This window comes from Homo sapiens, chromosome 13, assembly GCF_000001405.40.
Source record: "Homo sapiens chromosome 13, GRCh38.p14 Primary Assembly".
NCBI classification, from domain to species: Eukaryota; Metazoa; Chordata; class Mammalia; order Primates; family Hominidae; genus Homo; species Homo sapiens.
In genome coordinates, this window is record NC_000013.11 from 46,284,162 (window position 1) to 46,300,730 (window position 16,569).

Sequence of the window (16,569 nt, forward strand, 5' to 3'; positions counted from 1 at the left end):
CTGTACTAAGAAAAATTCTTCTGCCTTGGGATGCTATTAATCTATAACCTTACCCCCAACCCCGTGCTCTCTGAAACATGTGCTGTGTCAACTCAGGGTTAAATGGATTAAGGGCGGTGCAAGATGTGCTTTGTTAAACAGATGCTTGAAGGCAGCATACTCATTAAGAGTCATCACCACTCCCTAATCTCAACTACCCAGAGACACAAACACTGCGGAAGGCCGCAGGGCCCTCTGCCTAGGAAAACCAGAGAACTTTGTTCACGTGTTTATCTGCTGACCTTCTCTCCACTATTATCCTATGACCCTGCCACATCCCCCTCTCCGAGAAACACCCAAGAATGATCAACAAATACTAAAAAATAAAAAAATAATTTTAAAAAAAATCCTCTAGGCTGCAGGCACTCAGAAGTAGCTTGCTTGCCAGGCGTGGTGGCTCACATCTATAATCCCAACACTTTGGGAGGCCAAAATGGGTGGATTGCTTGAGCCTAGGAGTTCGAGACAGCCTGGGCAACATGGTAAAACACCATCTCTACAGAAAATAAAAGAATTAGCCGGGCGTGGTGGTGCGTGCCTGTGGGCCCAGCTACTCAGGAGGCTAAAGTGGGAGGATCACTTGAACCCAGGAGGCAGAGGTTGCAGTAAGCCAAGATTGCACTCCAGCCTGGGCAACAGAAGAGACCCTGCCTCAATAAAAATAAAAAATAAATTTAAAAAATTTTTAAAAAGTAGCTTACTGGTATCACTGTTTAAACATAAGCTGCCCACCAAGGCAGTGCTTTACTTTCACATATTCGACTTCATGCACCCTGAGCCTCTACCCTGATAATCTGACTCCCATAAACTGCCACCAGCAACCAACCATGAGTGACAGTTTAAAGATATTACCTGGTGTCACTGTCTGCCAGAGACAGGGTAGGGTTAGGGATGGGGAAGGACCAATCCTCAACCAAGGCAGCCAGGCTGGTGCAGCACCAGTGAAGGCTCGTGATGGCACCACCCAAGGGCCTGGCTTCCTGCAGGCTCAGGAGGAAAGACAGCTGCTGAGGCCCTGGAGTTTGCTTACTCAGGAGGGCAAGATGAGGTTCCCTTCTGCAGTGGTTGGTGAATATGCCCTCTCCAGGCCAACCACCTCCTCTACTGACGCTTGGTCCCTCCCAAAATTCTCTCTCCTCCCGCTTCCCAGGAGTGTGGGTTAACACCCAGTTGAAAAGCCTCCAACAGGCCGGGCACGGTGGCTCACGCCTGTAATCCTAACACTTTGGGAGGCTGAGGTGGGCAGATCACTTGAGGTCAGGAGTTTGAAACCAGCCTGGCCAACATAGTGAAACCCTGTCTCTACTAAAAATACAAAAAAAAAAAAAATTAGCCGGGCATGGTGGTAGGCACCTGTAATCCCAGCTACTTAGGAGGCTGAGGCAGGAGAATTGCTTGAACCCAAGAGGCAGAGGTTGCAGTGAGCTGAGATCGCGCCACTGCACTTCAGCCTGGTGACAGAGTGAGACTCCGTCTCAAAAAGAAAAAAAAAAGAAAGGAAAAAAAAGCCTCCAACAGGGTCACAAATACATGCAGAGTTCTTCCAGCAGATGAACAACTCAACCTGGGCAGCCACCGGGGGTGAGGAGGTGAGGAGTTGGGAGTTGATTCTTTCCCCTTCCAGAACCCAGACTCAGGGTCCTCACTTCCAATAAGGTAAAGGAAAGTAGAAGCCGAGGCAGCATAGTGAAATCCCATCTCTACAAAAAATACAAAAATTAGCCAGACATCGTGGCACATGCCTGTAGTCCCAGATATTTGTGGGCTGAGGCACGAGGATTGCTTGAGCCAATAGGTCAAGACTGCAGTGAGCCATGATTGTGCCACTGCACTCCAGCCTGGGCAACAGAGCAAGGCCCTTCTCAAAAATGAAAATAAATAAATAAATAAAGCAGAGGTCAAGTGACCTGCCCAAGGCTCCTCATCTTACAGGACGTGCAAAGCACCCGATGCAGGATTTGGCACAGAGTATGGACTCAGAAAAGGGTAGCTCTTATTTTTAATGTGAGAACTTGTGTCTGCCCAGCCCATTCTCCTTTCTCTTGTAACATGATGGCTGCCTTCAAGGACATTATGGTTTGTTTTTCTAAAATAGATTTTAAACATGCATTTTCCCAGTTTCTTTTACTTTTTTTTTTTTTTTTACTTTTTTCCCCTTTGTTTCTTTTTTTTAAATTTTATTATTATTATATTTTAAGTTTTAGGGTACATGTGCACAACGTGCAAGTTTGTTACATATGTATACATGTGCCATGTTGGTGTGCTGCAGCCATCAACTCGTCATTTAGCATTAGGTATATCTCCTAATGCTATCCCTCCCCCCTCCCCCCACCCACAATGACCTTTTCAAATGATTGAAAGTCGGTTGAGGATCTCTGATTTTTTCATTTGTTGTTTTCATTACATTTAGGGGAGGGACAGGAGGTAGAGACTAATGACAAAAATTGATTCTTTATATTCTCTCCAAGCTGTGTTTAGTTCAGCATTTCTAATCTTTAAATGGGATTCCTTTAGCTAGCAAGCAATGCAAATGTTCCAAATGTAATTAATCTCAGAAATCCATACAGCCACAAATCAAGAGTACCAACTCATTTTGACTACCTAGCCACTCTTTTAATATTTCCATTAGGACATATTAGGAAGTCCCATTTTTCACCAATAAGAAATGCGGTGTGTTTGATCAGAAAACAGTTGTAGGAGGACCTAGGTACAGTAAGGCCAAATGGTTCAGAGTGTTCTTTTGCTGCATAGCTCTGGGGAATCGTGGAGATTCCTTGCTTTATAGTGGAAGAAAATAACAACTATATTAACCATCTGGTAAAACTTCCAAACTAGTGTTCTCTGGAGATCACAATTGTTAAAGCTTGGTTCAATTCATCAGTTATTTACTGAGCACCTTCTAGATGCCTGACACCATGCTAGGTCCTTTGCATAAAGTGTAACATAGAATTTCTATGGCAGAGGTATGCCCAGCATGCCGTAGAAGCACAGTGAAGCAGCACAGAGCCACCTCTGGGGATTCACTTTCTGAGGGAGCATTAGTTAAAGCAATCTTGCTGTTGTAAAATGCATGGCAGAGAATTATGGGAGACAATAGTGAAATAAACAAGGCCAGGTCACAAGGCTCTCACATACCATGTAAGGACTGTTAATAGCTGTTAGGGAGTCATGGAAAGGTTTTAACTGAGGAATAATATCATCTAATGTGTATTCTGAATAGATTAGTCTGGTAGATGTACAGAGGAAATTCAGAGAAGATGTTAAGGTTTCCAACCGGGCATGGCAGTAGTAGTAGTAAGGAGGAGAAATTTTAAAAAACATTTAGAATATAAAATTGGCAGATTGGATGTAGAGCATGAGGGAGAAAGGGGAGTTTCTAGGACTATTTGCTTAATTTGCATCCTATGGAGGAAGAAAGTTTTTAAAAAACTTTACTTCACCCATCAATTCACTAAGCCTATAAATTTCTTATAGAAAAAATAGTTTTATAGGACTGATATGGCAAAAGTACGAGTTAGTTTTAATTCATGTTCTGTTCTTGGTACTAAAGTGGACTTTATGCCACCTTATACAAATGTGACGTATTTTTAAAAATCCAGATTTGTCAAACAAACAAAGGTAATTATTCTCTTTATAAAATGATTATTTGTTCTAGAAAATAAATCTTTATATGACACTTTTAAACTGTCAGCTCTAAATATGATTTAATGTACTATTCCTCAGAAACACATTCCTTTTCTAAAAACCGACATACACGTATTTTCAAACTGATTTATTTTTTCCCAAGATATTTTTATTTTTTTAGAGTAAGTGGCAGATCAGTATTTTCTAGGATTCATTCATTCACTCAGTTAAGAAATACGTGCTGGATTCCTATTCTATGCCAGACACTATCTTATACTTTTCAGTTATGGCAGAGAATGAAACAGACAAAATATTCTATCCTCATGGAATGTATACTCTAATGGATTATACCTTTTTTTGTTTTAAGAAATAGGATATGCTATTCATTCTGCTAATTTTAAGTATTTCCTGGCACAGTGCTTTGCACATAGCAGGAACTTTCTATAGATTTATTCAGCTAAATAAATTCTCAAAACCAGAAAGTGACTCCAATAATATGTTGTGTAAATGATTTCACCATTTTTAATTTTCTTATTTATTGTCAGACTCAGAAGAGATGCCAGACTATGTATTCTTGTTTTTTTTTTTTTTAATAAATTCAGATATACAGTCATTTGTTGGGAGAAAAAGACACTATGATTTGAATACTCCTAATTTCCTCCCTTAATCTCTCATCAAAGAGTGTGCTGTCTTTGCATCACTTCAAACTCTTCCATACCAATATAAACCAAGTTACCTTGCCTACACAGTTCAGAATTTTGCAAAGCACTTTCATATACCAAGGGAGGGGAGAAATGTTTAAGCCATTGTTTTTCTAGTATTACCTGTGTGGTGCAGAAGACCGATTAACCACGGCATTTTCTTTCTCTCTTTCCTCCTTAGGAGCAGAATCCAATTTTTGGATAGGCACAATCGCCTCCTAGTAGAAGCTACTACTTTCCCCAGGCTCCCTTGTAGCTGCATCTGGCCACTATACTATGGACAGTAACATGAGTGAAAGTATTGGGTCAGACTCCAGGAAGGCTGTTGAAAGGCAGGTGATTGATTCGAGGGAAGATCTTTCTTACCCTTTGGTCTTACCTTTACTCTTTATTCCAGCGTAGAATGCAGACAATATGACTGGGGTTCCAGCAGCCATTTTTGGCTACAAGGTGACCTTGAGAATAAAGAGTAGAGAGTAGAGACCTATGCCCCTGATGGCATCATAGATCCACAGTATCAGACCTGGTATTCCCTATCTTGTACATGGGAGAGAAAATGATTTTGATCTTGTTTTAGTCACTGATATTTTGGGTCTCTGTTTTATCCAGCCAAATCTAATCCTAACAGATACTGCTTTAGACACTAATCAATGACACCAGCAAAGAGTTAGACTCCCCCTACTGGAGAAATCTGTTGCTAACTCACTCCTTTTTCCCTTCAAGTGGCTCTTGGCTGTCTTCTAAACCTGGTATCAGTCAGATTTACATGTAAGGCTGGGGAAAATTTCAGCAAACTGATTTCTTTGTGATCTCACTTGTGGGGTGAGGCGGGGGTCTGGGCTCTCTCACCTCACCAGACACGGGTCTATATATGACCTACTGGCCAGGAAGAAATCAACCACTTCTGGTCAACTTCTGTTTCCTTTTTGTACCTCTGTACAGCTGTAAACAACAACAAAAAAAGTCTGATAAATCAGCAAACCAGGAAAACCTGGGAACTGCATGCAAAATCTGATTTGTTATTGAGTCTCCCAACATCTACTGGGATGGTGAATTTCTAGCCAGGTGAATTTCTATCATCGTATTCCCCAGCTTACTATAGACATTCCTAATCAATCCTGACACTCTCGCCTGCTAGGCCCTGATGTGCCTCTGAATCTTTGTCAATATAACCTATCAGACTAAGGTTCTCTTTGTTTACATGTTAGTGCTTACAAGTGCATTTTATATGACCTCTTTTTAGGTTACTAAGCTCTTGTTTGGTAATGGTTAGCAACTCAAACAGGATACTGAAATAATATTTGCATTCTCTTCATTTTAATTGGTGGCCAGATGCTTAAAATAAGTTTCACAATGATATGTTGTAAAGAACTTGGAAAGAAGGTGGTTAAAACTAGTTTTGTGAGTTAGTCATATATGTGTGTATATATGTGTGTGTGTGTCTGTGTGGCGCATATATATATATATATATATATATACACATATTCCAGCAATCTGGAAAACACATAAGAGGTGTGTGAGAGGTCCACCAAGACCTGAGGAGACACATAAAAGAATTCCTTTAGACAGAACAGTTGCAGAACTAAAGCTCCAGGAATCACGGTGGTTGCTTCCCCTTGCCCTAAGCCAAGTGGGAGAGACTTCAAAGGCCTGCTTGATGAGTTTCTAATGTGTTTCCTGGAGCTCAGGGACATGGCACTGGTGCAGGACACACACAGAAATTGAAAGGGAGGAGACTGTGGCTATTGGCCTAAGATGGCCAAGTAAAAAGAACAGACCCAGATCAGCTTAGGCATAAGCAACAAGACCCCAAACAGAGGCAAGGATGTGTCAGCTTTCCCTTGAGTCAGGTGGACCAGAGGGAGGATCAGGCCTGGGATCATGTTGAGAGGGTTCTCTTTAGGAGGTCTGCTTGGAGATTGAGCCAAATGCTACAAGGGAATCTACTACTGGAGGTGCAGGGCTTAAGGGAGGGGACAGAAAGTGGCAATTGAAGGAAGCACCACCAGGATGGTGGGAGCTGCAGTGGGAGATTCCTGGTGGGGTGAGTTTGGGACACTCTTCAAGAAACCCACAAAATTTCCAGAGACAATCGGTCTTGAGCATCCACCAAATCCAAATGACACAATGCCAGATCATGACGCAAGACTGTGCCAGTTTCTCCTAATCTCCTTTGCCCCTGGAGCACCACTCTGAAAGGGTCAGAAACTACAGCCAGCCAATGGGTGAGCAAGGTGGGACTGCGGGGTGGGGGGTGACAGATGCAACTGATCACCACTTCTACCCCACTCTAGGTCTCCTGTCAGACTCAATACTGGTCTCACTTGCTTAAGAGCTTGGAGTGTGGTTATTACACTGGACTGGACATTTTGTTGCTGCAATGATACTGCTCTGATGACCAAAAAAGCAGGTAGAGCACTGGGCTCTACCAGAGATTTCATGCAGAGGCAGGGAGGGAACTGGTCTTTGGTATAAAGGGCCATGAGAGAAAGGACCAAGTTATTCCATTCTGCCTCCCATGCCTCACCCCTGCTTAGGTCCTACCTGCCAAAAAAAAAAAGCAGGCACATTGCATTCTCCCTCAGTCCCCGTGTGGCCCCTAGGCAATGTGTGAGTCCAGGAACTGGAGCTACCTGTCCCTTTTGAGGGAGTTCCTCCATGATTGCCCCTGAATGTGAGAAAGGCTGTTTCCTGACACCTGGAGCATGAGAAGAGTAAGAATCAGTCTACTCAATGTGCCACATCAGTTTTGGAATGTCTGACCCCCTTCACAACATTTCAGCAACAACACATGAATTTGTTTGATGACTGGGAAAATCTAAACAAGTTAAATTTTCCACTATGTTTCAAATAAAGAAAGCTGATGTTAGAAAATTCTGCAGAAGTCAGAGGTGTCTCCAGAATACTACTATGACTAGATTTCTTTTAAGCTGAAACTTCATGAGGCCAATTGGCATATTCCTCTGGAACTCAGACAAGCCATTTGCCATAATTATAAAAAGCTTAGTGAGAACCATGGGCTTACCTGAAACTGTACAAATAAGTCAGTTTGATTTTCTTCCTGTACTTTTCTCTAGCTCAATTGCATATAGCTTATGGGTTGTATTCTTTTTTTTTTTTTTTAACTAAAAAGAGATGCACACCAATTGTACTTTTTGATCCCTGGGTCACTCTTGCTTCTGTCAGACACTTTTAATTTAGGAGTGAGGTAATAAGATGTAAGCATTACCCAAGTAATTTATAGTAATGCAAAATTTGGCTCAACAAGCAGATCAATAGTCTCCGTAAGGCCTGGGCCAGCTACAGACAGTTTCACAAAGTCATTATCTAATTGGAAATATCTGCTGGGACACCAGATTTCCCACTGACATTAACTGGGCATTCTCTTAGCCCAGAAAGCATGATGATAGATTATCCTTGAAACGGCATTCTGACAAGGGCATTTCTCTGTAACATCAGGCATCACAGAACAAATTGCCTAATTGGAACTTTACAATTTTATTTTCCTTTTCTGTTTGGCAATACACCAAAAAGAGACTCGGAAATGATCTATGGTATTCCTTTTGTCAAAGCTCAAAGAACTCTTAACTGTTCTTGTATTTTGATTCCACCTGAATTCCTCTCATGATGATGCTACAGGTGTTTATCATCATCACTATTAGGTTTATCTCCTTGTCCCCCACTCTATACAGGGCAAATGGAATTACCGCTATTTGTAGTCTTCAGCGGACACAAGTGTAAAAGATGTCCTGTGTAAGACAAATAAGTTTAAAAGTATGAAAACAAGGCCAGCTGCAGTGGTTTAAGCCTGTAATCCCAGCATTCTGAGAGGCCAAAGCAGGGGAATTGCTTGACCAGGGGTTCGAAACCAGCCTGGGCAACAAAGCAAGACCCTGTCTCTACAAAAAATAATAATAAAAAAATAGCCAGGTATAGTGGTACAGGCCTGTGGTCCCAGCTACTTGGGAGGCTGAGGCAGGAGAATTGCTTGAGCCCAGGAGGTAGAGGCTGCAGTGAGCTGTGATTGTGCCACTGCACTCTAGCCTACATGACAGAGGGAGACCCTGGCTCTAAAAAAAAAAAAAAAAAAAAAAAAAGGGGAAAACAGTATTACCTTAAAAAGGTGACGGAATGCTGTTAAGCACTGTCCCAACTTGAGGGTCTAAATTTTGCTCATTTCACTAGGATTCCTGCCCCAAGCACAGGACAGGGAACTCTGAGAACACTAAGCTATGAGGGCCCCCTTTGGGTTTGTAGATATCTTGGGAAGTTGTCCACATGAGGAAGGCTGGGCAGAAGCATGCCTTGTGGCATTGCTTGGGGTCACTTTTGCTAGTCAGTCAACTGGTGAGGCAGAGGGCTGGGTGGAGCCGAGGTTCATGTATAGGGTGGAGGAGGAGAGGGAGATCTCCACATGCGTGAAGGCTGGGTGGTCAGCCACGAACACACTACTCAAGGCAGCTCCTGGGCGTGTGAGAGGGGGACCCTGCATTAGGCTTCCTATGAGTCTGCCCTTCCCAACACCCTGACCCACTCCTGCACTGCATGGACAGCCTCTTTCCCCATTCTGACAATTCCCTCTCACTCAGGTGTCAGAAAACTAGGTCTCCATCCCACAACCACTGGTGCATCTCCCTCCTCTCTATCCTATGGGTTCCATTGCATGCCCTTCTCACAGCTTTCCTAAACAGCTGTATTCTCTTTTCATTCACAATAGAGCTTGAGTTGCTCATCTACACCACAGCCCAATCATGGCTAGCCCAAAACAATCTGGACCCCCTTTCCTTAAGAACCAAGAAGCTTCCATTTTCAAAGCCCTTGAAAACTTTCAAATAGACTCAGATCCTAGTTCTACAAGAAAGCCCACTGTGAAGGCTGATAAGCCCACACTAACCACACAATTCCAGGTAACAGAGTCCACCCTAGAATGTTCCCTCAGAAGCACACTGTATGCCCCCAAAGCAATCCATAAAAATAACACGTGGAGTTTTCCTATATCAAAGATGTCCTTAACTGTTCTTATAACTCTGAACTAAATTGTGATCTCCAATTTACATAACTTTCAGACGTCTTAAGAGACCTATTCCAGAGCTTAATGGGAAGTGGGTGGGTGGAAAGCTCACAAGACAGCCAGAGCTCTTTTCAAATGGTTTTATGTTTGTTACCCACACAATGGGCAGGTATGATCACTTGGTGGGTGGCCATCCAATGACCACAACCAAGGAGGATTTAACAAGGGGATTTTATTACTTGCAACAAGTAAGGAAGACACCCGGGATAGTTCCCCAAAACAGTACCTTTCATAACAAAGGTGAAAACGGGGCTTTAATTGGGCTGGATAGCTGAGTCACTGTAAGTAAAGGGGGAGTCTAGGCCACACAGGTGCAGTCACTGTTCATGCTTCTACATATATTGCATGTGGCTGGACGTGGTGGCTCAAACCTGTAATCCTAGCACTTTGGGAGGCTGAGGCAGGCGGAGCACTTGATGTCAGGAGTTCGAGACCAGACTGGCCAACATGGTGAAACTTCATCTCTATTAAAGCTGGATGTGGTGGCGCATGCCTATAGTCCCAGCTACTTGGGAGGCTGAGGCAGGAGAATCGCTTGAACCTGGGAGGTGGAGGTTGCAGTGACCCGAGATCACGCCAGTGCACTCCAGCCTGGGTGACAGAGTGAGACTCCATCTCAAATAAAATAAAATAAAATAAAATAAAATAAAATAAAATAAAATAATAAAATAAAATAAAATAAAATAAAATAAAATAAAATAAAATAAAATAAAATAAATAACATTGCATGTTTAGAAAGTGGCAAACAGGCTTCTCCCTGGGCAGGTTTTTTTAGTATGGGAATGAGGAGAGTTCCCCAAATTTCATCTCCAACACAGCAGGCATCTCCCGATTCAACCAGTTTTTTGTTTTGCAGAGGCTGAGCTTCTTTCTGGGTCTTTTTGAAACAACAGGAACTCAAGGTGCAACAGTAACAAGTGGGTACTTTTTCACAGTGTGTACCCAAGGACCTCAAAACCCCAGGAACCTGGGCTGCAGGTTCACTCCAGAACACCGAGCTATCAGTGCCCTAAATTTCTATGCCATGATGCTGTAATAATTTTTGCCTAAAAATATTTTTACTTTTTTATTAATAATGATGTCTTACATTTGTCGGGCACACACTGTGCCAGTTATCCATGATCTAATTCTCACATCACTTTATGAAATGGTTCCTATTAATATCTCTGTTTTATAGGTCAGTAAACTGAAGCAAGTAGAGTTAAGAAAAAGTGGATTCTGGCTGGGCACGGTGGCTCACGCCTGTAAACCCAGCACTTTGGGAGGCCAAGGCGGGTCGATCGGTCAGTAGTTCGAGACCAGCCTGGCCAATATGGTGAAACCCCGTCTCTACTAAAAATACAAAAATTAGCTGGGTGTGGTGGTGGGCACCTGTAATCCCGGCTGCTTAGGAGGCTGAGGCAGGAGAATTGCTTGAAACCAGAAGGCAGAGGTTGCAGTGAGCCAAGATCGCACCACTGCACTCCAGCCTGGGCAAAAGAGTGAAACTCCGTCTCAAAAAAAAAAAAAAGAGTGGATTCCACACAGTGTAATTTCAAGGTTATAAATGTAAGCATGTTTAAGGCTTTTCATACGAGAAGCCAATTTGTTTTCTGAAAACTGTGTTCCTGCTAGTGTACATTCCTGGCAGGCTACACACTTGTTCTTCCCACTACACAATCATCGAGACATTGAGAATTGTCTTCTGAAATATTTAATACTTTCATATGGGAAAATGGTGTCTTCTTGTGGTTATTTTAATTGTCTTTGTTTTAAATTCTCTGTTTTCCAATGGTTCAATTTTCTAGTCCTTCTGAGTTTTGTAGGCAGTAAGCATGGCATAAATCCTAAATAAATAGAGGAAATGCTTCACTATTTTTCCTGGAACTGGACTTAGCTATTTTATTTTTAAAAGGAAAGAAAAACCTAGAAAAGGGAAAATCTACAAGTGTCAGACCCTCCCACACTTCTATGGTTTGTTCCAGAAAAAGGAACAGCTTCTTTACTCTGAGGAACCAGAAAGAAGCTTGCTCTGTTCCTCTTCTCAACAGCCAGAGCTTCAGCGCTAGCACCTGTGTTATCAAGAGAAGCTGAGTCCAGAACACGTGATGGGAAGCATGTGGGTATGTATGTGTCAAAGCTGCTTTGAGCCTCACTCTGTGCTTTTTCTCTTCTTCTAACAAATTCATCACCGGTGTTATTGTGTCAGTGCATGCTGAGAATTTTATGCAACTTAGTGTATATCTGATTATCAAGCATTCAAATCCCAACATCTGTGCTCAAATATAAGGAAATAGGTCAAACAGAGACGCCTCCTCCTGCTGCAACGCCTTTCACACTGCGTCAAAGAGTTGCATCAAACAGGATGATCAGTGTTGCAAGGTGTGGAGACCACAAACTGTCTGCCACCACTGCCAGGCACCATGTAACCTCAATTCTTCCCTGGCAAATAGTGTCTGACACAGTGCAAAAGGGCAGCACTGTTAGAAAGACTGCAGCTCTAACTAAAACTGATGATCAAGCAAGAGGAAAAAATCCGATTATCAGCTATTTTAGAGTACATTTAAATTCCCAAGTGCAATGACCCCTAAATGCAAACCATTGTTTTTGACCAGCTATGACTAAAACAGCTAAAAAGGATTGAGAAACAGCAAGAGAGAAACTATGCCCTCTAAAGAAGCAGACTTCCTGCCTTGGCTAGCTTGTGTTAGAGCAGATTCTGCCAAATAATACCACTATAAAACGTGTCTTCAAAAAAGCTGTATCTTCCAAAAGATGATGTAACAGTTGCTCTAGGGAGGCAATAGCAATGTTCAGATGAATGGTGAATTCCTTTCCTATTGCTGCTCTAACAAATTACCACAAATCAGTGGCTTAAAACAAAACAGCTTTATTACTGCACAGTTTTGGAGGTCTGAAGTCTGAAATGGGTTTCACTAGGTACAAGTCCAGGTGTCAGCAGGGGTGTGTTCCAGCTTCTAGAGGCTTCCTGCATTCCTTCGCTCATGGCCTCACTCCTCCATCTTCTAAGCCAGCAATGTCAGGCTGAGCCTTCCTCATGCTGCCGCCTTTCTGATTCTTTCTCTCCTGCCTCTCTCTTATAAGGAACATTGTGATGACATTGGACCCACCCAGATGATCCCAGATAGTCTCACCATCTCAAGGTCAGCTGATTATCAACCTTAATTCAGTCTGGAACCTCAAGTCTCCCATTGCCATGTGACATAACATAGTCACAGGTTCCAAGGATTAGGATGTAGATATCTTTGGGGGGCTATTATTCTCCCTATCACAAAAGGGAACACCAGAGTCTTCAGTTTAGCAATCTTCAAGGAATGTTGACAAAGCAAGAATCTGAGGCTTTGAGAATGTAGGTAATTTTCCCGAAGACATTCTGCAAGTAGGAGATAGAGCTGGAACATGACCAGATCTGTCTGCCAAGTAAGCCCAGGCTCATCCTCCACACGCTGCCCCCATCAGGAGGCAACCTGGCCCCTTCTACTGAATCTCTACATCAGATGGAGCCTGCATATGACTCAGCAGAAACCTCAGAGGAAATTCTGCTTCCTTCAGGAATTTCAGGGCATGGTGGTGATTGGAAAGAGTCAGGACAGTTGGCCTTTACTTCATATTGCATCACAACCACTAAGTGGCTTTGGGAAGTTTGCTAAAACTTTCAGGTTCTAAGGATCCTCGGCTGTGAAACCAGGAACTTGGACTAGATGGTGTCTAAGACATCTTTCAGTTCTAAAATTCTATAATTGAATGGTCTTATGGGTAAAACCACTTTGCTGCAGAACAGTGCCACTCAGAGCATAGTTTGTCGACCTCTGTCAGTCCAGAGTATTCGGTACCTGTCCATGACAAGATAAGGAGCTTAAGCCAAAATGTTAACCAACTACATCAGTAAGTGCACTGTTCAGTACTGCTGCCATTTGATTTTTTGTAGCAAGGCTTTCGTGGTGAAGGAAGCAGTGTGTTGATTTACTTCCTGGCATAATCTTCTTATCTCATTGCAGATTGTTAGCAAATAGTTCCTGGATGAGATTCTGAATAATGCTGATGTAGAAAAAACATTAAAGTTCAGAGGTGAATATGTGCTTAATATCTGAAAATTTTTAGAGAATGACAGCTGGTTGTTCTTGCCTCACAGAAAGGAATAGTATCCAGTAAGTATTTGTAAAAATACAAATGATGAAACTATCTTTGGGATCTGTGATAGACTGCAGTATTTCTTCCAGATTATTTACACTCTCCCTGCAAGAAAATTATACATCCAGGTCTACTGCCATGGGCCTTCCTGTGGAATACATTTCTTCCCACTATTGACATCAGACTTGGGTCCAGGGACTTGCCTTGGTTAATGGAATGTGAGCAGATGGCTTATACCATGTCTCAGCAGAAGTTTTGGAAGTCATTCACGCCTGTAATCCCAGCACTTTGGGAGGCCAAGGCGGGCAGATCACTTGAGGTCAGGAGTTCAAGACCAGCCTGGCCAACACGGTGAAACCCTCTCTCTACTAAAAATACAAAAATTAACTGGGTGTGGTAGCGCACGCCTGTAGTCCCAGCTACTAGGGAGACTGAGGCAGAAGAATTGCTTGAACCCAGGGGGTGGGGGTTGCAGTGATCCAAGAGTGCGCTACTGCACTCCAGCCTGGGCGACAGAGCAAGACTCCATCTCAACAACAACAACAACAACAAAAATCATTGCATAGTTCAGCCATGGCTTTTTTTCTTCTCTTAAAAAATGTGGGGGCAGGGAGGGGAAGGAAGGGGGTGTCCTAGGTAGGGGTGAATCTTTCAGCCTGTAAACCAGAATGAAGAAGACATGTAGAGCAGAGCTATAGTCAACCCTAGCTGACATATATTGTAAGCAAAAAATAATCCTTTGTCATTGTCCCTGAGATTTTGGAATTGTTTGTTACTGCAACCTAACCGAACAAATGCTGGTAGAACAATTTGTATTCCTTTGGGTATATACCCAGTAATGGAATTGCTGGGTCAAATTGTAGCTCTGTTTTTAGCTCTTTGAGCAATCACCACACTGGTTTCCACAATGGTTGAACTAATTAACACTCCCACCAAGAGTATATAAGAATTCCCTTTTCTCTGCAACCTCACCAGCATCTGTTATTTTTTGACTTATTGATAATAGCCAATCTGACCAGTGTGAGATGACATCTCATTGTTGTTTTGATTCGCATTTCTCTAATTAGTAGTGCATTCTTCTTTCTATTAGTAAGTACAACAAAGTTTTTACCTCAATAGCCTCATGGCCCAGTCAGGACTGCTTTATCTCAAAAAGCAAAGCAGAAACTACAGCTATTATGAAGTCAATGACAGTAGCATTGTTTACCCCCAGGCAAATAGATTTCTTATTGCTGAGAGCATACCCACCTCCTCCAACACACACACACACACACATACAGGATATGGATTAAGTTGAATGGTTCAAGTGTTTTATGTTTTCATAGCCACACTCCACTTCCAATAACTTACAAAGTCCTGTCAGTTCTACCTCCACCTCTTACATGTCTCTCCAATGTCTCTGGTTCCACTGCCACTATTCCATTCCAGGCCATCATTATCTCTCATCTGGACAATTGTGATAATTTACTAAGTGGTATGGCCATATACATCAACTCTTCCCCCACTCTAGCTAGCTTGCTATATAATTCTACAAAAGTCAGGGCTGGGCATGGTGGCTCATGCCTGTAATCCCAGCACTTTGGGAGGCTGAGGTGGGCAGATCACGAGGTCAGGAGATCGAGACCATCCTGGCTTGATCTCCTGTCTCTACATGGTGAAAACCTGTCTCTACTAAAAATACAAAAAATTAGCCGGGCGTGATGGCGGGCACCTGTAGTCCCAGCTACTCGGGAGGCTGAGGCAGGAGAATTGTGTGAACCCAGGAAGTGGAGCTTGCAGTGAGTCGAGATCACGCCACTGCACTCCAGCCTCGATGACAGAGTGAGACTCCATCTAAAAAAAAAAACAAAAACAAAAAACAAAAAACAAAAGTCAGCTTTCCAAAATGTAAAATTAATCACATTATTGCCCTGCTTAAAACTCATTCAGTAGTCACAAAGGAGAGAAAAAAAGGAATCAAACTTTATCACTACAGAAAATGACCAAACTGCAAAAATAAACAATGAGAAGAAGTAAGGAATAAGTAATATGCAAAACAACCAGAAAACAATCTATAAAATGATAAGAGTAAGTCTTTACCTATCAATAATAACTGTGAATGTAAATGTATTAAATTACTCAGTTAAAAGACATAGGTTGGCCAAATTGAAAAAAAAGTAAGACCCAACTATATGCTGCCTACAAGACACTCACTTCACCTGTAAATACAAGCTTTATGTGAAGGGATAGAAAAAGATATGTCATGAAAATGGAAACCAAAAGCAAGGAGGAGTAGCCATGCCTATGTCAGATAAAACAAACTTTAATTCAAAAGCTATAAACAGAAACAAGGGACATTATATAATAATACAGGGATCAATTCAGCAAGGACATATAACAACTGTATATATATGCAGTCAATACTGGATAGTCTAGATATATAAAGCAAATTATTAGATCTAAAGGGAGATTCAGACTCCAATACAACAGTAGCTGTGCATTATAACATCTCACAGCATTAGACATATCATCTAGACAAAATTTAACAAAAAAACATTGGAATTAAATAGCATCATAGATCAAATGGACCTAGCAGACATTTACAGAATATTTCACCCAATAGCTAAATAAGACACATTTTTTCCATCAGCACATGGAATAGTTGGAATATTCCATGTGTTTGGAAACAAAACAAGTTTAAATTTTTAAAAAATTGAAGTCATATCAAGTATCTTTTCTGACTACTGGAATAAAACTACACATCAATAACAAGAGGAACATTTGAAACTATACAAATACATGAAAATTAAACAACATGCTCCTGAATGACCAATGAGTAAAGAAAGAAATTAAAAAGAGAACTTTTTAAATTCTTGCAATAAATGAAAATAGCAACATAACCTGTCAAAACAAATGGGAGGCAACAAAAGCAGGATTAAGAGGCAAGTTTATAGCAGTAAATAGCTACATCAAAAAAGTAGAAAGAAGCCAGGTGCAGTGGTTCATGCTTATAATCCAAGCAGT

At 41.9% G+C, this 16,569-nt stretch overlaps 2 long non-coding RNA genes across 2 annotated transcripts in view, besides 2 other annotated features; both read right to left on the reverse strand.

Moving 5' to 3' along the window:
• Positions 1-16,569, reverse strand: part of LOC105370194 (uncharacterized) — a 47,059-nt gene that overhangs the window by 9,461 nt on the left and 21,029 nt on the right. The gene's annotated exons all lie outside the window — the stretch shown is intronic.
• Positions 9,297-9,798: an enhancer, noted in NCBI's record as "NANOG hESC enhancer chr13:46867593-46868094 (GRCh37/hg19 assembly coordinates)". NCBI's record gives its function as "activates a minimal SCP1, AML or CMV promoter by ChIP-STARR-seq in primed H9 embryonic stem cells {active_cell/tissue: H9 hESC(primed)}" and the evidence as "EXISTENCE:reporter gene assay evidence [ECO:0000049][PMID:30033119]".
• Positions 12,271-13,470: an enhancer, noted in NCBI's record as "CDK7 strongly-dependent group 2 enhancer chr13:46870567-46871766 (GRCh37/hg19 assembly coordinates)". NCBI's record gives its function as "activates an origin of replication core promoter dependent on BRD2, BRD4, P300/CBP, MED14 and CDK7 cofactors, with strong dependence on CDK7, by STARR-seq in HCT116 cells {active_cell/tissue: HCT116}" and the evidence as "EXISTENCE:reporter gene assay evidence [ECO:0000049][PMID:35650434]".
• Positions 12,284-13,683, reverse strand: LINC00563 (long intergenic non-protein coding RNA 563). Its single transcript, NR_047493.1, has one exon. It is a non-coding gene; the product is annotated as a long intergenic non-protein coding RNA 563 (long non-coding RNA).